This window comes from Homo sapiens, chromosome 14 (assembly GCF_000001405.40).
Source record: "Homo sapiens chromosome 14, GRCh38.p14 Primary Assembly".
Lineage (NCBI taxonomy): Eukaryota > Metazoa > Chordata > Mammalia > Primates > Hominidae > Homo > Homo sapiens.
In genome coordinates, this window is record NC_000014.9 from 102,139,832 (window position 1) to 102,159,531 (window position 19,700).

Sequence of the window (19,700 nt, forward strand, 5' to 3'; positions counted from 1 at the left end):
CAGGGGGTGGGGGAAGAGGGAGCACCAGGAACAGCGCCTGCGCGGTGGGCGTGATCCGGGCACTTAGGGCAGGATGAACGCTGCTTTCCAAGATGGCGACGGAGGGAGGAGGGAAGGAGATGAACGAGATTAAGACCCAATTCACCACCCGGGAAGGTCTGTACAAGCTGCTGCCGCACTCGGAGTACAGCCGGCCCAACCGGGTGCCCTTCAACTCGCAGGGATCCAACCCTGTCCGCGTCTCCTTCGTAAACCTCAACGACCAGTCTGGCAACGGCGACCGCCTCTGCTTCAATGTGGGCCGGGAGCTGTACTTCTATATCTACAAGGGGGTCCGCAAGGTACCGACCCGGGCGTCACCGGAGCCAGCCAGCGGCGTAGGCAGAGGCCGGGAGCAGGGCGGTGACAGTGGGGCCAGGGTGACCGAGAGGGGTGGCCGTCGCTCTTACTTTTGAGTGGGCCGGTAACTCCACTGGGGTACTCCTGAGGAGAGGGGATTCAGGAGTAAGGAGGGTGGTGGCGGTGGCGTTTCGAAGGGGTGGGGGCAGTGGAAAGGGACCGTGGGGCGCGGGGGTTCTGGCTGGGAGGCTCCCGGGGGAGCCGGCTGCGTCCCCTCCAGCCTGGTCCATCAGGCTCTGACATGGCCAGGGAGCGGGCCTGCGAGTCCCCGGAAGAGGTGAGGTGGCCGTCTTGTCTGCTTCGATTGCCTCGCCTCCCTGGAGGGTTGGAAGTCTCGCCCTGGGTTAGAGAACAGGGACGCAAGACGGCTTAACAAGATCTCTGTAAGGCGGAACCGGGGCCGGGAAGCGGAGCATTGAGACTAGGTCAGAAAGAACCTGCTCGGCACGCAGGGCTACTCCACCTGCTGCCGCACTGACACTTCCTAGGAGCCTCTCCTGGTGTTAACATTTCTATTTCCAAAAACATCCGCGGGAGGACGGCTGTCACTGTCTCCGCCGTGGGGACCTTCTGAAAGATTGTTAAGGAGAGTCATCTTGTCCCTTGTAGTATGCGAAGGGCTGAGTACTACAGTTGAAATGATGTTTCCAGTGAACTAAGCTGGTTCAGAGGGGTTGTGTGAGAGTGCCCAGATTAATCTTGTCCAACAAGTCAGACTGTGTCCCAAACAGGGAGTGATATGCTTTAAAAGCTGCTTTAAAGGGACCATCCTTCTTGGCGGGCGAGTTACCGGTAATTCTGTGAAACATGTAAGCATCCTTTAAAAGTATCTCTTTAAAAGCAGCCATTTATTAGAGTTTTTCTTTCATTGGCTATGTAACTATGTTTTCACTGAGAATTGCTTATTTTTGAGATTGTAGTCTTTGACTTGATGTCATGGAAGAGTGAGGAAATTAATGCATCCCACAGCACCTCCAAATAGGACAAGGTGATAAAAGATTAAGTCGTAAATGCATGTTAGCATGAAAATAAATTGTTCATATTGAAGAGTGAACATTCTTCAGGATTTAATATAGCCAGATCCAGTACAGGATTTTCGCTTGTTACAAGAGCTAGGGAAATGACAGTGGTATCTAAATGTAGCAAAGTTGTTTCTTTGATTCAGGGTGAATCTTTTTTTCTTAGTCTTTATGATAATAAGTGTACCACTGTATTTAGGGTATGCTGTTGGAAGTTATTAAGGGTAAATCGCTTGACCTTTTTTTTTTCCTCGTTTGGAATTGCAAAAGCTCGAAGTAGTCTTCAGTCTAGGGGCTGAAGTTTTACTCCTACTCCCAACTTTGTCACTGACTTGTTTGGGTGACCTTGGATAAGTTATTTAACTTCTATTTGCACCTCTTTAAAAAGGGAATGTTACAGTGCACGTTGTAATTAATAATATAATAATCATAATGAACTTTAAGGCCCTGAAACACTCAGTAGATGTAAAATATAGTTAAATACTGACTGTCAAATAAGAAGCTGCTGTCTTGACATTGATAATCAGAGTGAAAGGACCAATTTTGTCTCAGGAAATTAAGTTTAGAATTTTAAGTTATAAAAATTTATATTTATATAAAAATACGATGTGCTTAAAAACTAAATTCACTAACTAGCAATTATTAATGTAGGAATTACTTAAAAATTTTTTTTTCTTTGAAATGTTATGACTTCTGAAGCATCCTAATGGCAGACCTTATCTGGATCTGGTAGCCCTGTTTTACATCATAAAGACAGGTTTCTTGCCTGGAAGTATCATTACAATAGTGTTCTCTTTTAGTGGGACGCTATTCCCTGAAGGGTAAAAGGAGGCAAGGTTTTTAAAACCACACCAAAAAATTATTTTAAACAAGATAAATGTGAAATACGTAAATTGCCCTTACCTGCATAATTTGAGTGTTTTAACGCTTTTTGGGTAAAATTTCATTTTCATGTGGTAGTATCTTGTAGATACATTTGCATTGTGTTGCAGATGTTTCTACTCTCTTTTAATTGTAACTTAAACATTTTTTTCCATGAATGAGTTGGCATTTATTTGTTGTTATTTCTGAGTATAAGTGACTTTTTATGACTATTTTCTGATTTAAAATATAGGAAATACATTTTCCTTAATTGGAAAACCAAAATTTACTTTTTAGAGTTAGTAGTTACAAACATATTTTTGACAGTTGGCTATTAAACATGTTTTTGTTTTTGTTTTTAGAGACAGGATCTCATCCTGTTGCCTAGGCTGGAGTGCGGTGGCGTGCTCATCGTTCACTACAGCCTCAAACTCCTGGGCTCAAATGATCTTCCCACTTCAGCCTTCCTAGTGGCTGGAACTACAGGTGTGCACCACCCTGGCTAATTAAAAAAAAAAATGTTTTTTAGAGATGGAGGTCTTGCCGTGTTGCCCAGGCTGGTCTTGAACTCCTGGCCTCAAGCGATCCTCCCACCTCAGCCTGCTAAAGTGCTGAGATTATAGGTGTGACCCACCATGCCCAGCGCACAGTTGGCTGTTTTGACTTTTTTTTTTTTTTTTTTTTTTTGGTCCTTTGAGGCGTGTAAAATTTTACAATAATTATTTGGATTATTCAGAAGATCTAATTTAGATGAGTAAATTCAACTTAAGTCTGTGTGTAAAATGAGTAGAAAATAGGTCTTTTAAAGAACTTAACTCATTAATTACGTGCTACCATTCCTGAGAGGAAACATGGGGTCCTGGGGAAATGGAGTAGGTGAGGAAGTAGTCTAACGTTCATGCTGAGGAGTGCAATCTTGATCCTTTTAAAAGGTTTACAGGTCAGTGTCTGGAGCTAGAAGGAACTTTAGAGTTTGTTATTTCACCCTCCTCAGAGCGAACCAAGGCCAGAGAGGGGATGCAAACCTGTTAGAATTTTTTCTCATAGTAAGGAAAATGAAGCACAGCTGAGTCTAAACCAGCTTAGAAGAGACTGATCCACCTTTTTGATCACAGGGATATTATATACTCCGAGCACTTCAGAATCTACCCCGGCATTTTGCCATATATTATTTTATTAAATTCTTGAGGTAGATTAAAACATCTTTTCACAATCGAGGAAGTTTAGAGTGGGGTTTCTTGTGTGAGGAGATGTAGTTTTGCAAATTTATTTAAAGACAGTATTAACATTGATTTAATACTGACACTAATCATTTTACCAGATTTGAGTGACTACTGTGATAGTAATAATACCAGGCAAGGTGATGTGAGGTATTCAGAGCTAAATAAGACCCTGTCCCTCTCCCCAAAAGACTTTCAACTACTAGCTTTTAAACATCTTTTTTTTTTTTTTGAGACAAAGTCTAGCTCTGTCACCCAGGGTGGAGTGCAGTGGCACAATCTCGGCTCACTGCAACCTCTGCCTCCTAGGTTCAAGCGATTCTCCTCCCTCAGCCTCCCGAGCAGCTGGGACTACAGGTGCGTACCACCACGCCCAGCTAATTTTTGTATTTTTGGTAGAGATGGGGTTTCATCATATTGGCCAGGCTGGTCTCGAACTCCTGACCTCGTGATCCACCCTCCTCGGCCTTCCAAAGTGCTGGGATTACAGGCGTGAGCCACTGCGCCCGGCCGTAAACATCTTTATTACATACTTTGTTCTCCTTTTTTAAAAAAAGAGATTGTGGTCGGGTGCAGTGGCTCATACCTGTAATCCCAGCACTTTGGGAGACTGAGGTGGGAGGATCGCTTGAGCCCAGGAGTTTGAGACCAGCCTGGATAATATATCAATACCCTGTGTCCACAAAAAAATAATAAAAAAAAAATTAGCTGGCCATGGTGGTATGTGCCTGTAGTCACAGCTACTTGGGAAGCGAGGAGGGCTCTTGAGCCGAAGAGTTAAGGTTACAGTGAGCTATGATTGTGCCACTGTACCCCAACCTGGGCAACAGAATGAGACCCTTTCTTTAAAACAACAAAAAAGGGGAGTGGGGCTATGCGCCATGGCTCACACCTGTAATCTCAGCGCTTTGGGAGGCCGAGGCAGGTAGATGACCTGAGGTCAGGAGTTTGAGACCAGCCTGGCCAACATGGTAAAACCCCATCTCTACTAAAAATACAAAATTAGCTGGGCGTGGTGGTGCTTGCCTATAGTCCCAGCTACTCGGGAGGCCGAGGCAGGAGAATCACTTGAACCCTGGAGTCGGAGGTTGCAGTGAGCCAAGATCATACCACCGCACTCCAGCCTGGGCGACAGAGCTAGACTCTGTCTCAAAAAAAAAAAAAAAAGATTGTTTTAGGATGTAGGATAAAAGATGCCAAAGGTAAGGTAGCTGGGCTTATTGGACCAATCCTCTCATTTTATGGACATCTGTTTTTACATAAATATGAATGGCCTCCATTCAGATCTCAGCTTAACCATCACTTCCTCAGGAAATTTTTCTTTGAATCCCCATGGTGTATCAGTTTTACCCTATTACATGTTTTTTTGTTTTGTTTTTTTTTTTGTTTTTGAGACAGAATCTTGCTCTGTTGCCCAGGCTGGAGTGCAGTGATGTGATCTTGGCTCACTGCAACCTCTGCCGCCCGGGCCCAAGTGATTCTTGGGCTACTCCCGAGTAGCTGGGATTACAGGCATGTGCCACCATGCCCAGCTCATTTTTGTATTTTAATAGAGACGGGGTTTTGCCATGTTGGCCAGGCTGGTCTTGAACTCCTGGCCTCAAGTGATTCACCTGCCTCAGCCTCCCAAAGCACTGGGATTACAGGCTCTATGTTCTTAGAGCATCTTGTGCTTTGCCTTCCTAGCACTTTTCTGAATTTGTAATTCTGTGTGATGATCCAACTGTGCCTTCTATAAAACAAAGCTCCCTTAGAATAGGGACATTATCTTTCCTGCTCTCCATCTTCTCAATGCACAGTGCAGTGTCCAGTTTAGAGTTAGGCCCTTGCTGTGTACTTGTTGAGTGAATGACTGAGTAAAGCCATGTCTGTCTATACCAAACTTGAAAGAGATCTTTAGAAGATGAAAAACCTATTCAGTTTTGGGCCCAAAAGTAACTTGGGTATTTTTTAATAGCTCATATCTTTTAAAAGACATTTAAAAATATTGCTAGTAGGTAAAAAATTTAACCTTCTTAAAATAGGGAAATCGTGTAAGAGACAATGAAGTAATAGTAAACAAATGACACAGATTACTTTTGATCTACTTCTGTCAAACCATGTCACCTACAAGATCCATGTACAACTTTTAAAAACTGTTCTCAGGCCAGGAGTGGTGGCTCATACCTATAATCCTAACACTTTTGGGAGGCCAAGGCGGGAGGATTGCAGGGGTCCAGCCTGGGCAACACAGTGAAACCTCGTGTGGGTTCGAGACCAGCCTGGACAACATAGTGAAACCCTGTCTCTACAAGGGTGGGCGTGGTGTCATGTGCCTCTAGTCCCACCTACTTGGAAGGCTGAGGTAGAAGGGTCACTTGAACTGGGGAGGTTGAGGCTGCAGTGAGCTGTAATCGTGCCACTGCACTCCAGCCCGGGCAAGAGAGTGAGAGCCTGTTTCAAAAAAACAAAACAATCAATAATAAACAAAAACTATACTCAGAATTACTTAACATTCAAGCCAAAGAACCTTCCTACCTTCCCACATCTTAAGATTCCAGGTCACAAATGTACTGCCCAGAGAAGTTACTGAAGTGGTAACTACAGGAGGTAGGAAGTAGATTTAGAGGATTCTAAGGTTTTTCCATCTCTAAAGCTTATATGATTCTGTACTCAGTTGTTTTTTTTTTTTTTAAATGGAAATGGATTCATCATTCTATTGGGGAGGTATCTTCATCTCTTTGATTCATTGCCTACTTGATTTGGAATTGAGAGGGGTGGGGTGTTTGGGAAAGCAAGCTGAAAACATTGTGATTTCTAGGTATTTATGCTGGAAGAGTTTTTTTGTTTGTTTGTTTGTTTGTTTGTTTTTGAGACGAAGTCTTGCTCTGTCGCCCAGGCTGGAGTGCAGTGGCTTGATCTTGGCTCACTGTGACCTCTGGCACCCGGGTTTTAAGCGATTCTCCTGCCTCAGCCTCCGAAGTAGCTGGGATTACAGGCACTTGCCACCATGCCCAGCTAATTTTTGTATATTTAGTAGAGACAGGGTTTCAGCATCTTGGCCAGGCTGGTCTTGAACTCCTGACCTTGTGATCCACCCGTCTCGGCCTCTCAAAGTGCTGGGATTACAGGTGTGAATCACCATGCCCGGCTAGAAGAGCTTTATGTTCATGATGCTGAGATGAAGTTGGGGCCAGAAGAAGAGTCAGTTGATAAAAGCTAAAGTATTTTTAGATCCTGATTAAAGAAGAAGGTAATGGGTTGACTTGAGAGAGAATGAGCGTTCTGTTATGGGAATGCTCATATGGGAAATGTTCTGTCTCTTTGTCAAAAACTGCAGGACCACCTGTTGGTGACATTGGAGGAATTCCTGCTTTGTGTGGGAGGGTGAACTAGATGCCTTTAAAAAAAATTTCCCCCCCACAGACTTGTTTTAGATATTTTACTGCTTCAGAGAGGGTCATGTTCACACCATTCTCCCCTTTTGTAATTTTTCACACCTCCCTGGCTCCCCTTTTATAATTTAGAAAGAGGTTTAGAAGTCTGTAACTTTTTGTATTAGATTTACTTTGAGAAATCTTGTACTTAATTTAGTAGGTCACAGAGGGTTGCTGAATGACTGGAAACTTGTGTTTCTTTTCCATTAAGGGCTATTTGCTGACTTCTGAAATATTGATGATTTATTTGACTTTAGAATTTTGCATACTGAGGGGAAAGCATCTTAATGTATCATTTAAAGCAGGAGATACTTTCATACTATACCTGGGTTCTCTTGGCTTTGAAGAGGAGGGTGGTCATGAGATATTGAAAGATTGCATGGGTGGCTTGTAATCCCAGCACTTTGGGAGGCTGAGGCGGGTGGATCATCTGGGGTTAGGAGTTCAAGACCAGCCTGGCCAACACGGGGAAACCACATCTCTACTAAAAATACAAAAATTAGCCAAGTATGGTGGCGCATGCCTGTAATCCCAGCTACTCAGGAGGCAGGAGAATCACTTGAACCCAGGAGGTGGAGGTTGCAGTGAGCCAAGATCGTGCCAGTGCACTCCAGCCTGGGCAACAAAGCGAGACCTTCCCAAAAAAGGAGGACTTCATGGGTAGATATGAGCAATGGTGAGAAGCACCTGGAATATGTCATGGAAGTCCGTGAGATAGTCATGAATGCCATTCTTTCAGCAAATATTCATGGAGTATGCCTACCAGATATGAGGTACTGTTTTAGATGCTGGGTGTAGTCAGAGTCTCTGCCCTCAAGAAATGTGTCACTTATACGATATTTATTATCATTGACTTAATATAGTGACTTAAGGGTAAAGTGCTTTGATGGCAAACTTGAGCTTGAGCAAGCATCAAAACATGGTGGATTTTGTCACTGAGTGGTTTGGCTGTATGGCTAAAGAACCTTGTTTTATTTTATTTTAGTTTTAGTTTTAGTTTTGGAGACAGAGTCTCACTCTATTCCCCAGGCTGGAGTGCAATGGCATGATCTTGGTTCACTGCAACCTCTGCCTCCCGGGTTCAAGCCATTCGCAGGCCTCAGCCTCCCGAGTAACTGGGATTACAGGCACCTGCCACCACACCCAGCTAATTTTTGTCTTTTTAGTAGAGACGGGGTTTCCCCATGTTGGCCAGGCTGGCCTTGAACTCCTGACCTCAGGTGATCCACCTGCCTGGGCCTCCCAAAGTGCTGGGATTACAGGCGTGGGCTACTACGCCTGGCCAAGAACCTTGTTTTAAAAATAGGAAGATTTTTGTCGTCTGGAATTTAGTATCTCAGAGAATAATTCTGTTTGTTTCTCAGTGAGGTTAGTTTGTGCAGTAATATGAAATGTGATCTTGTTTGGTTATTCAGGAGAAGACCTTAAAAATAGAAGTAACCTTAATTGGTAGACATTTCTAATTGGTAGACTTCAGTTTTAATTTTCAGGACACTTGAAATTGACAGCATCAGTGACAAGTTACCTTGGCTCTTGCCCTTAATCCCAGTATTTTAGGAGACCGAGGCAGGAGGATTGGTTGAGCCCCAGGAGTTTGAGACCAGCCAGGGCAACATAGTGAGAGCTCATCTCTACAAGAAAAAATTAGCCAGGTGTGGTGGTGCACGCCTGTGGCCCCAGCTATTCAGGTGGCTTAGGTGGGAGAATTGCTGGAGCCTGGGAGGTTGAGGCTGCAGTGAGCGGAAATTGTGCCACTGGACTCCAGCCTGGGTGACAGAGCTGAGACTCTGTCTCAAAAAAAAAAAAAAATCATAATCCTCATTCATCAAGCATTTATTGATGACTGGTATATACAAGGCACTGCTGTCTATTGTGGCGGATGTGAAGTGTATTTAACACTCCTGTCTTTAAAGAGTTTGGCTTTGTGTGTGTGTGTGTGTGTGTGTGTGTGTGTGTGTGTGTTTGGAACAGGGTCTCACTGTGTCACCTAGGCTGGAGGGCAGTGGCACAATCATAGCTCACTGCAGCTTCAACCTCCTGGGCTCAAGTGATCCTCCCGCCTCAGCCTCCTGAGTAATTGGGACTACAGGCATGTGCCACTGTGCCTGGATAATTTTTAAAAAATTTTTTGTAGGCCAGGCGCGGTGGCTCACGCTTGTAATCCCTGCACTTTGGGAGGCCGAGGCGGGCGGATCACGAGGTCAGGAGTTTGAGACCGTCCTGGCTAACACAGCGACACCCCCTCTCTACTAAAAATACAAAAAAATTTAGCTGGGTGTGGTGGCGGGTGCCTGTAGTCGCAGCTACTCGGAAGGCTGAGGCAGGAGAATACTTGAACCCGGGAGGTGGCGCTTGCAGTGAGCTGAGATCGTGCCACTGCACTCCAGCCTGGGCGACAGAGTGAGACTCTCTCAAAACAAAACAAACAAACAAAAAATACATACATAAATACATTTTTTTCTTTTGTAGAGACTGGGTCTTGCTGTGTTGCCTAGTCTGACCTTGAACTCCTGGGCTCAAGTGATGCTTTTGCCTTGTGCTCCCAAAGTGCTGGGATTACAGATGTGAGCCATTGTTCCCGGCTGATTTTGTATTTATCATTATAATACAAAGTAGAGGATATGTGCTCTGCATGTGGCATAGCAATGTAAGTATCAAGTGGAATTAAGGAGTAAAGGTGAAGTGGAAAAGTATTTCTCTGCCTAGTAGAAGAATATTGCATTGGGTTTCAAATAGATAATTTGCCCTAAAATGTTGTGTGCAGATCATATTTTTTATAAATTTTTAAATTTGTTGCCTTGTATTTCTAATTTCAGAAATGCTTTATTTTTATTTCTGATTGAGCGTAAGATGTCCACTGCTCTTTTAGCATTTTTCTCAACTTTTCAGCTTCTCTGCCAGTTGGTAATTTGTAAATTGAGAAATATTTTGTGTCATCAATTCTATTTTATTTATTTATTTATTTGAGACGGAGTCTCACTCTGTCGCCCAGGCTGGAGTGCAGTGGCTCGATCTCAGCACACTGCAACCTCTGCCTCCTGGGTTCAAGCAGTTCTCTGCCTCAGACTCCAGAGTGGCTGGGACTGCAGGCACATGCCACCACGCCCGGCTAATTTTTGTATTTTTTAGTAGAGATGGGGTTTCACTGTATTGGCCAGGCTGGTCTCTTAACTCCTCACCTCGTGATCCACCCGCCTTGGCCTCCCAAAGTGCTGGGATTACAGGCATGAGCCACCGCACCCAGACGTCGATTCTATTTTGTAGTAGATTTTTAAAAAGTAGATATATTATTCTAAAAACATGCCAAATCAGTTTGTGTTACAGCTTATCTTGCTTTGTATCAATAGGAAAATAGCTTAAATATATAGGTTTTATAAGAAAGAAGCAAGAATCATTCATGAGGAAGGAATTTATAAGGATTTTATATTTACAAAGTAAGAATCAGGCCTGGCATAGGATTACATCACGCCTGTAATCCTAGCACGTTGGGAGGCTGAGGTGGGAGGATTTCTTGAGGCTAGGAGTTGGAAACAAGCCTGGACAACATAGTGAGACCCCATCTCTACAAAAATTAAAAATTAGCTGAGTGTGGTGGTGTGCGCCTGTAGTCCCAGCTACTCGGGGCCGAGGTAAGAGGATTGCTTGAGCCCAGGGTGGGGAGGTCGAGGCTGCACTGTGATTGAGCCACTGCACTCCAGCCTCAGCGACAGAATGAGACCATCTCAAAAAAAAGTAAGAATAATTCAGTAAGAGGGAATATTTTAACATCTTAGTTACCGCATTGTAGATTATTGCTCTGCCATGAAGCTGTTTTTTTCTTTAGTTGACTCACAGCCAGCTTACCCTTTTACTACCCTTTTTTGTTCTGCTACAGTAAAACTTGTACAGGTGCTCATTCTCTTTACTTACTTGGATCTCTGCTTTAGAGCTCTGTCTTGCCTTAATATTTCATTTAATAAATATTTGAGTAGTTTTTGTGTGAAAAGCAGTATGCCAGACTTTGGGAAATCAAAGAAGTATGAGGTATGGGCCCTGACCTTAAGAGTATCATCTAACCAAGGACGGACATGATATTCACACACTCATTCTAAGAGGACTTACTGAGTGCCTGCTCTATATTGTTAAGAATCTCTGCTGTCAAAGAGTTCACAGTCCAATGGAATAATCAAGGGCTTATTCATTCAACTAACATTTATTGGACCTGTGGATCCAAAGATAAATAAGACATAGTCCCTGGCCCAAAGTGCCTACAGTCTAGTGGTGAGACAGATAAGTAAACCAGCAATGATAAGGCAGCTGCTAAAAGGCATTCAGAACTGAACATTGCCTATTAATAGGTGCTGTGTACAGTTGGTGAGAGGATAAATGCATAACTCTTTAAAGTTTATAGCCTTTTTATTTTCTCTTCAAAACCATCCATTGGGGAATTTTTTTTTTTTTTTTTTTTTTTTTGTCATTGGAGAGATTGTAGTGTGTCCACGGATAATGAAGGGCTACAGTAGAGCCTGATGTTAAACCCAAGGCCTGTGCCTAGGCCTCTTACACGAGCTTTTCTGTCAAAAAACGAACTATGACTGATACTGATGTGATTCCTGAGAGTGGGAAATAGTAGGCTAAAAAGTAATTAGGAGGTGTTTTTTTGTTTTTGTTTTTGTTTTTGTTTTTTTGAGACAGGGTCTCACTTTGTAGCCCAGGCTGGAGTGCAGTGGCTCAATCATAGCTCACTGCAGCCTTGAACTCCTGGGCTGAAGCCATCCTCCCACCTTAGCCTCCCATGTAGCTGGGACTACAGGTGTGCACCACCACGCCTGGCTAATTTTTTTTTTGGTAGAGACGAGGTCTTGCTGTGTTGTCTGGGTTGGTCTTGCCTGGGTTCAAACGATCTTCCTTCCTTGGCCTCCCAAAATGTTGGGATTATAGGCATGAACCACCATGCTGGGCCAGGAAATATTTTATAGAAGAGATATGACATGGGTACTCTTTTCTTTTCCTTTTTCTTTTTTTTTTTAATGAAACAAGATTTCACTTTGTCACCTAGGCTGGAGTGCAGTGACACAATCATGGCTCACTGCAGCCTCAACCTTCTGGGCCCAAATAATCCTCCTGCCTCAGCCTTCCAAGTAGCTGAGTCTATAGGAGCATGCTACCACCCACACCCACCTGGCTAATTTTTACTTTTTTTGTTTTTGGACACAGGGTCGGTCTCGCTCTGTTGCCCAGGCTGGAGTGCACTGGCACGATCTCAACTCACTGCAACCTCCGCTTCCTGGGATCAAGGGGTCTTCCCACTTCAGCCTCCTGAGTATCTGGGACTATAGGCACCATGCCCGGCTAATTTCTGTATTTTTTTATAGAGACAGGGTTTCACCATGTTGCCCAGGCTGGTCTTGGACTCCTGACCTGATATCATCCTCCCATCACAGCCTCCCACAGTGGTAGGATTATAGGTGTGAGCCACTGAACCCTGGCCCATGAGTACTCTTTTTCTTCCTCTCGGATATAAAGAAATGATCTGAACATCCCTGGAAGTATTGATAAGAAAGACAGCAAGATTTAAGAGATCACATAATAATAGTAATAGCTGACATTATTAATAACATATTAATCATGTTAATAATAGTGTGGATTATGGATAATTATGGATATTGTGCTAACAGATTATGCAGGGTCTCTCTTTTTTTTTTTTTGAGACAGAGTCTTGCTCTGTCACCAGGCTGGAGTACAGTGGGGTGATCTCGGCTCACTGCAGCCTCCGCCTCCCAGGTTCAAGCAACTCTCCTGCCTCAGACTCCCGAGTAGCTGGGACTATAGGCGTGTGCCACCATGCCCGGCCAATTTTCGTATTTTTACTACAGACGGGGTTTCACCATGTTGGTCAGGATGGCCTGGATCTCTTGCCCTCATATGATCCACCTGCCTCAGCCTTCCAAAGTGCTGGGATTATAGGCGTGAGCCACCGTACCTGGCCCCATGATCTCGTTAAATCTTTGCAAATAATCTTATAAAGTAGACACTATTAGTATCCTTATTTTACAGGTGAGAAAATGAGATTTGTAGCAACTGGATACTTTGCATAGGTTATAAAACTAATAAGCCATTGTCCTGGGGTTTGAATCCAGTTCTGTTCAACCCTAGAACCAGAGTGCTTAACAATAAGCTAGGGACTTATATTGTCAGTAAGCACAGGACTAGGAGTCTCATTGGGAGCTCTGGTCCCTGCCCAAATCTCATGTTGATTAGTAATCCCTAGTATTGGAGGTGGGGCCTGGTGGGAGGTGATTAGATCAAGGGGTGGATTTCTCAGGAATGGTTTAGCACCATCTACTTGGTGCTGCCCTCACGCTAGTGAGTACGAGTTCTCTCCAGAACTGGCTGTTTAAAAGTGTGTGTGGCACTTCCTTGTCTCCCTCTTGCACCTTCTTTCTCCATGTGAAGTGCCTGCCCCCCCTTCACCTTCTGCCATGATTGAAAGCTTCTTGAGGCCTCACTAGAAGCTGAGTAGATGGCAGCACTATGCTTCCTGTAGAGGTTGCAGAACCATGAGCCAGTGAAACCTCTTTCTTTTTTTTTTTTTTTTTGAGATGGAGTCTTGCTCTGTCACCCAGGCTGGAGTGCAGCAGTGTGATCTCGGCTCACTGCAAGCTCCGCCTCCTGGGTTCACGCCATTCTCCTGCCTCAGCCTCTGGAGTAGCTGGGATTACAGGCGCCCACCACCACGCCTGGCTAATTTTTTGTATTTTTAGTAGAGATGGGGTTTCACCATGTTAGCCAGGATGGTCTCGATTTCCTAACCTCATGATCTGCCCGCCTCAGCCTCCAAAAGTGCTGGGATTACAGGCGTGAGCCACCGCGCCCGGCCACCTCTTTCTTTATAAATTACCCAGTCTCAGGTATTTCCTTGTAGCAATGGAAGAACAGCCTAATACACTGCTAGATGAGATTTGCTAGTACAACTTGTGCCCTCCCTAGAACCTCTTTATACTAACTGCTTCCTCTACTAGGAATGCTCACCTCCCTTATTTTATGCATTGCTGGCTCCTTCTTGCTGTTTAGATCACAGCTGAAATGTCACCATCCATCAGAGAACCTACTCTTGACCATCGATTTGTGGTAGCTATTGGCCACCTTCAGTAATATCACTCTTTTAAATACCCTTTGTCTGGGTACAGTGGCTCATGCCTATAATCCCAGCACTTTGGGATGCTGAAGCAGGAGGATTGCTTGAGGCCCAGAGTTTGAGACCTTGTCTCACTATGTTAAAAATTTTTTTAAATGAGCTAGATGTGGTAGCACGCACCTGTAGTTCCAGGGGAGACTGAGATGGGAGGATCTCTTGAGCATAGGAGTTTGAGGTTGCAGTGAGCTGTGCTCATGCTACTGCATTCCAGCCTGTGTTACAGAGCAAGACCCTGTCTCAAAAAAAGAAAAAATCTTTCATATACTACTTACTACTGGTTGTCTTAGTCTCTCAGACTACTGTAACACAATACCATAGATTAGGTAGCCTGTAAAGAACAGAAGTGTATTTCTCACAGTTCTGGAGTCTGGGAAGTCAAGATGAAGGTGTTGGCGGATTCATTATCTGGTGAGGGCTCTCTTTCTGGTTGGTGTCTACTCACTGTGTCCTCACATGGTGGAGGGGGAAGGCAGCTCTGTGGGACCTCTTTTATAAGGGCACCAGTCCCATCCATGGGAGCCACACCACCATGATCTAATCACCCAGAAGCCCCTACCTCCTGATATTATCACATTGCTGATGAGGTTTCAACAAATGAATTTTGAGGGGACACAAACATTCAGACCATAGCACTGGTATTGTCATGTTTACTTATGTATGCATTTGTCTGTCTCTTTCACCTTCCTTATTGAACATAAGCTTCCTGAGAGCATGAATAAGCCTTTCTGTCTTATTCATCATTGTATCCCCTGTTCGGTACCTAGAACAGTGCTTGGCATGTTGCAGGCACTGAAATATTTATTGAATGAATAAATGAGTGTATACTTTGTTGCCTTTTTGTTTGTATGCTATCCTTGATTATTGGTGAGAATGATAACTTCACAGTCTATAAAGCATTTACATAGAGCACTTTAGTTGAGCTTTATGGGAGGTAAGGTCAGGCAGTCATTTATTGTTATTGTTCCTACTTTATGGAAGAAGAAATGGATTCAAGGACATAGATAATAATTGATAGGATTATTAATAATTGATAGGACAAAGACTTGTGACTTTGTCCAGCTTTTACTCCCTGCATTAACCTGAAGCTGCCATCCCAGCAGTTCTGAGTTTAAAATAGACCAACTCATGTTTGGAGCCTTTTTAGAGGTTGAGATTGCTCCAACAGTGCATATTTTGCCTTTTGTACGATGATCTGTGTGACTTTGAGCAGGTTGTTTAACCTCTCAGAGCCTCGGGTTTCATTTTTTGTAAATAGAGATGAGAATATCTGTCCTGCCTACTTCACTGTTTTTTTAGGATTAGTGAGATAATTATATAAACACTCTTTCAGAAATGGTAAGGTACTGTCAAATGTAAGATATTTCTTTTAGTTATACAAGGATATACCAAAGGGCTGCAACTGACTCATTCTACTATCTCTCACATGTGACTTGCTAATTGACTGCTGTTTTCTTTCATCTGGAGCCCTGCAAGGATAAGGGGGAACTGGGTAAGAATGGGGAAAGGAGAGCAGCCTTAGAGAGACCAGAGAGAGATTACTGGGAGAGCAGTGTGGGAATTTTCAAAGGTTGAAGAGACTCTGGGGAGAAGGGAAAGCAGATATAGGAGCTCAGCATTTTCCATCCCTTTGTAGATGTGCAGACTATGTCTGCTCTATTAGACAGCATTGACTCATTAGGGCTCCTTAGCCTGACTAGAATTTAGAGGGTAGCCTGAATGGGAAAAATATTTCACTTTAAAAAATTTATTTATTTATTTTACTAACTTCTGACATTTAACATGTTCCTCAGTTATGAATATAGACATCACAATAATAATGGGACCTGTGGCAATTATCAATGAAAATCACAGACATTTTTTCCTTTTTTTTTTTTGAGAGGGTCTCCCTGTCACCCAGGCTGGAGTGCAGTGGTGTGATGTGGGCTCACTGCAACCTCCATCCCCGGGCTCAAATGATCTTCCCACCTGACTTTCTCAGGTAGATGGGTCTACATGAAGCTTGGCTAATTTTTAATTTTTTTTTTTTTTTTTTGTGGAGACAAAGTCTCACTATATTATAGCCTAGGCTGGTGTTGAATTCCTGGGCTCATGCGAACCTCCCACCTCGGCCTCCCAAAGCATTGGGATTAGAGGCATGAGGCAGAGGCAGCACTCCCTGCCCACAGATGTTTTCATATCACATTGTGGTTGTTGCATGTGTGTCAAATATCATTTACATCCATCACTACTTTGAAATTACCATTAGATCTTTTTTTTTTTTTTGAGACGGAGTCTTGGTCTGTGCCCCAGGCTGGAGTGCAGTGGCATGATCTCGGCTCACTGCAAGCTCCACCTCCCGGGTTCACGCCATTCTCCTGCCTCAGCCTCCCGAGTAGCTGGGACTACAGGCACCCACCCCCACGTCCAGCTCATTTTTTTGTGTTTTTAGCAGAGATGGGGTTTCGCCGTGTTAGCCAGGATGGTCTCGATCTCCTGACCTCGTGATCTGCCCGCCTCGGCCTCCCAAAGTGCTGGGATTGCAGGCGTGAGCCACTGCGCCTGGCCCCATTAGATCTTGTTATTCAATATGTAATTAAGAAATTTTTGAAAAGTTATAGTTATTTAGTATAATACAACTGTACTTTAATGTAGAATTTTTTTTTTTTGGAAACCGGGTCTCACTGCAGCCTTGACTTCCTGGGCTCAAGTGACCCTTCTGCTCTGGCCTCCCAGAGTCCTGGGATTATAGGTCTGAGCCACCATGCCTGGCCATAGATTTCTTTTATAGATTTATGCATTTAAAAACTATTGGGGCCAGGTGCGGTGGCTCATGCCTGTAATCCTAGCACTTTGGAAGGCTGAGGTGGGCGGATTATCTGAGGCAGGAATTCGAGACCAGCCTGACCAACATGGTGAAACCCCTTCTTAAAATACAAAAACTAGCTGGGCGTGGTAACAGGCACCTGTAATCACAGAAACTTGGGAGGCTAAGGCAGGAGAATTGCTTGAACCTGGGAGGCGGAGGTTGAGTGAGCGGAGATCCGCGCCGTTGCACTCCATCTTGGGTGATAGAGCAAGACTCCGTCTCAAAATAAAAAATAAATAAAATAAAAATTATTGGGGCTGAGGTGGGAGGATTGTTTGAGGCCAAGAGTTTGAGGCCAGCCTGGGCAACACTGTGAGACCCCCATCTCTGCAAAAAATTTTTAAAAATTATCGGGCATTGTGGCACGTGCCTGTTGTCCCAGCTACAAGAGGCTGAGGTGGGAGGATCACTTGAACCCAGGAGGTTGAGGCTGCAGTGAGTCATGGTCACACCACTGCACTCCAGCCTGGGCAACAGAAACCCTGTCTCTAAAACAACAAAAAACAGTTGTAAGGAGTCCATGGCACAGAAAGTTTAAGCACCCTGATTTAGGTAAGTCTTCCCTTAACTTCTTTAGTATCTCATGTGTGATTGAATATAAGAAGGGTGACTAGTTTCTTATGTCCTGTGAAGTGTAACTTTTAGCTCCATGAAGAGCTCTCTTGTGGTACTTTCACTCAGCAGTTGCTCATCTAGAATTCTAAGCTGGCCATGCTTTTTGCTTCATTTTTCTTCTTCCTGATCATTCTTGCTGCCCTAACTAGAGGGCAGAATACAAGAACCACTCCACAAGGTGGACTCTGTTCCATTTGGTTCAGATAGTAGGTGATGACAGTGTAATATTTGTCTCAATTGCAGCAGGAACTTTAGAGAAGATTTAATAAGGTGTCATTTGAATTCAGATGGTGGGTCAGCTGAAAGGGGAGGGGATTCTAAACCAAGAGAACTAGAAGTTCAAGGCCTAAGGATGTGGCAGCTGCTGGCTCCTTCTGGGAGTGTGAGCTGCAGTGTGAGGGCTGAAGCTTGTGCAAGGCTTGGGGAGGGTAGGATTATCTTCCTTAGTGGTGGTCATTTAAATGTTGGCCTCTTTTAGAATTCTTAGTATGATTTAAAAAGTGTGTCTTAAAATGTATTTTCTTTTGGTGCTAGTTCCAAAGTAATGTACTACATTAGTGTATTGTCCTCCTTTAGGGCTGAAGTCATCAGATTGTATCAGTGCTGTCTCGGGGTGCTATCGCTTCCCTTCCTTTCTCAATGTTTTCAGCCCCTGCCTCACTGCCACTGTCTCAAGCATTACCCCTGTTCCAGTGCAGTGAGCAATCATTATAACGCCCCTCGTATACACACTCGATCCCAGTCTTGGCTAAAGTGAATCCTCTGCCTACTGCACATCTGCACGTGTGCCCTGCATGTGGTTGAAGGATAGCACATCTGTGCTGCCTACACTCCCCTAAGATTCAGAACCATCACCTTGGAGGGGTGCATGGTGCTGACAAGCAGTTGCACCACACTGACCCCACCCTTCTAGATGACAATTTTTTTTTTTAAGATGGAGTCTCACTCTTGTTGCCCAGGCTGGAGTGCAATGGCGTGATCTTGGCTCACTGCAACCTCTGCCTCCTGGGTTCAAGCGATTCCCCTGCCTCAGCCTCCTGAGTAGCTGAGATTACAGGCATGTACCACCACGCCTGGCTAATTTTTGTATTTTAAATAGAGACGGGGTTTCACCATGTTGGTCAGGCTGGTCTCAAACTCCTGACCTTATGATCCGCCCACCTTGGCCTCCCAAAGTGTTGAGATTACAGGCATTAGCCACTGTGCCCAGCCTAGATGACAATTTTACAACTTTGTCCTCAGATCTTCAATAACCTACTTCCCTATCCTTATTCTTAGTTGATGACTGTACTTCTTATTTCACTTAGAACAATTAAACAGTCAAAAGAGAATTTCTCCAGATTTCTACCCTCACATCTCAGCTTCTGTCTGTACCGGATGCCTTCCCTTCTATTTTTAAGGAAGAGCTCTGCCCCTGTCTAAAGTCACCTCCCCGACTCGTTCGCTAAATCCCACCTCATTTTGGCTAATCGGTATTCTCTGTTTCCTACAAACGTGTCGCTGTTTCTCTCATTTTAAAACAGTTGTCAGGGGGAGAGACTCTTTCTGACACCCACTCATTTTCTTTCTTTTTTTTTAAGGCAGGGTCTCTCTCAGTCACCCAGACTGTAGTGTAGTAATGTGATCAAAGCTCACCGCAACCTTTAACTCCTGGCCTCAAGCGATCCTCCCACCTCACACTCCCAAGTAGCTGGGACTAAAAGGGTGCACCACCACACCCCTGGCTAATTTTTACATTTTTTGTAGAGATGGAGTCTCACTATGTTACCCAGGCTGGTCTTGAACTCCTGGGCTCCAGTGGTCCTGCTTCATCCTCCCAAAGTGCTGGGATGACAGGCATGAGCCACCGCACCCAGCCCACCCACTCATTTTCTATGGGTCATGTGCCTCCAGTTGCTGCTGGCCCATTTCTCAGCTACTTCTTAGAGCAAAGCACCTCTAGTTGTTTAAATTGTCTCAGCCCTCAAAGTGTGATCCACAGAGCTACATCAGCATCATCAGCGGTCACCTGGGAGCCTGTTGGAAGTGCAGAATATTGGCCCCATTTACTGAATTAAATCTGCATTCTAAGACAATCCTCAAGTGTTTCAGGTACACACTAAAGTTGAAGAGGCACTGGTCTTTACTAGCTTTCTTTGATTGTTTCAC

General features: G+C 44.2%; 1 protein-coding gene across 65 annotated transcripts in view, besides 5 other annotated features; it reads left to right on the forward strand.

Annotated features, from left to right (window-relative positions):
• Nucleotides 1–19,700, forward strand: part of WDR20 (WD repeat domain 20) — an 85,417-nt gene that overhangs the window by 409 nt on the left and 65,308 nt on the right. For 30 of the 65 annotated variants that reach the window (NR_038354.2, NM_001353658.2, NM_001353681.2 and 27 more), the window contains exon 1: nucleotides 66–341. The exons of 5 other annotated variants lie outside the window; for them this stretch is intronic. Coding sequence is in view for 41 of the 60 variants with exons in the window: in NM_001353681.2 (NP_001340610.1) it covers nucleotides 93–341 (249 nt within the window). In the remaining 19 variants the exon portion in view is untranslated. Of the gene's footprint in view, nucleotides 1–65; nucleotides 378–19,700 lie in introns of those variants that run through there. 30 more of the 65 variants (XM_011537339.3, XM_011537335.3, XM_011537337.3 and 27 more) reach the window with 3 other exon arrangements.
• Nucleotides 102–151: an enhancer, noted in NCBI's record as "active region_9065". NCBI's record gives its function as "activates an Ori minimal core promoter by ATAC-STARR-seq in GM12878 lymphoblastoid cells {active_cell/tissue: GM12878}" and the evidence as "EXISTENCE:reporter gene assay evidence [ECO:0000049][PMID:35858748]".
• Nucleotides 162–321: an enhancer, noted in NCBI's record as "active region_9066". NCBI's record gives its function as "activates an Ori minimal core promoter by ATAC-STARR-seq in GM12878 lymphoblastoid cells {active_cell/tissue: GM12878}" and the evidence as "EXISTENCE:reporter gene assay evidence [ECO:0000049][PMID:35858748]".
• Nucleotides 16,000–16,916: an enhancer, noted in NCBI's record as "H3K4me1 hESC enhancer chr14:102622168-102623084 (GRCh37/hg19 assembly coordinates)". NCBI's record gives its function as "activates a minimal SCP1, AML or CMV promoter by ChIP-STARR-seq in primed H9 embryonic stem cells {active_cell/tissue: H9 hESC(primed)}" and the evidence as "EXISTENCE:reporter gene assay evidence [ECO:0000049][PMID:30033119]".
• Nucleotides 16,917–17,833: an enhancer, noted in NCBI's record as "H3K4me1 hESC enhancer chr14:102623085-102624001 (GRCh37/hg19 assembly coordinates)". NCBI's record gives its function as "activates a minimal SCP1, AML or CMV promoter by ChIP-STARR-seq in primed H9 embryonic stem cells {active_cell/tissue: H9 hESC(primed)}" and the evidence as "EXISTENCE:reporter gene assay evidence [ECO:0000049][PMID:30033119]".
• Nucleotides 19,016–19,516: an enhancer, noted in NCBI's record as "H3K4me1 hESC enhancer chr14:102625184-102625684 (GRCh37/hg19 assembly coordinates)". NCBI's record gives its function as "activates a minimal SCP1, AML or CMV promoter by ChIP-STARR-seq in primed H9 embryonic stem cells {active_cell/tissue: H9 hESC(primed)}" and the evidence as "EXISTENCE:reporter gene assay evidence [ECO:0000049][PMID:30033119]".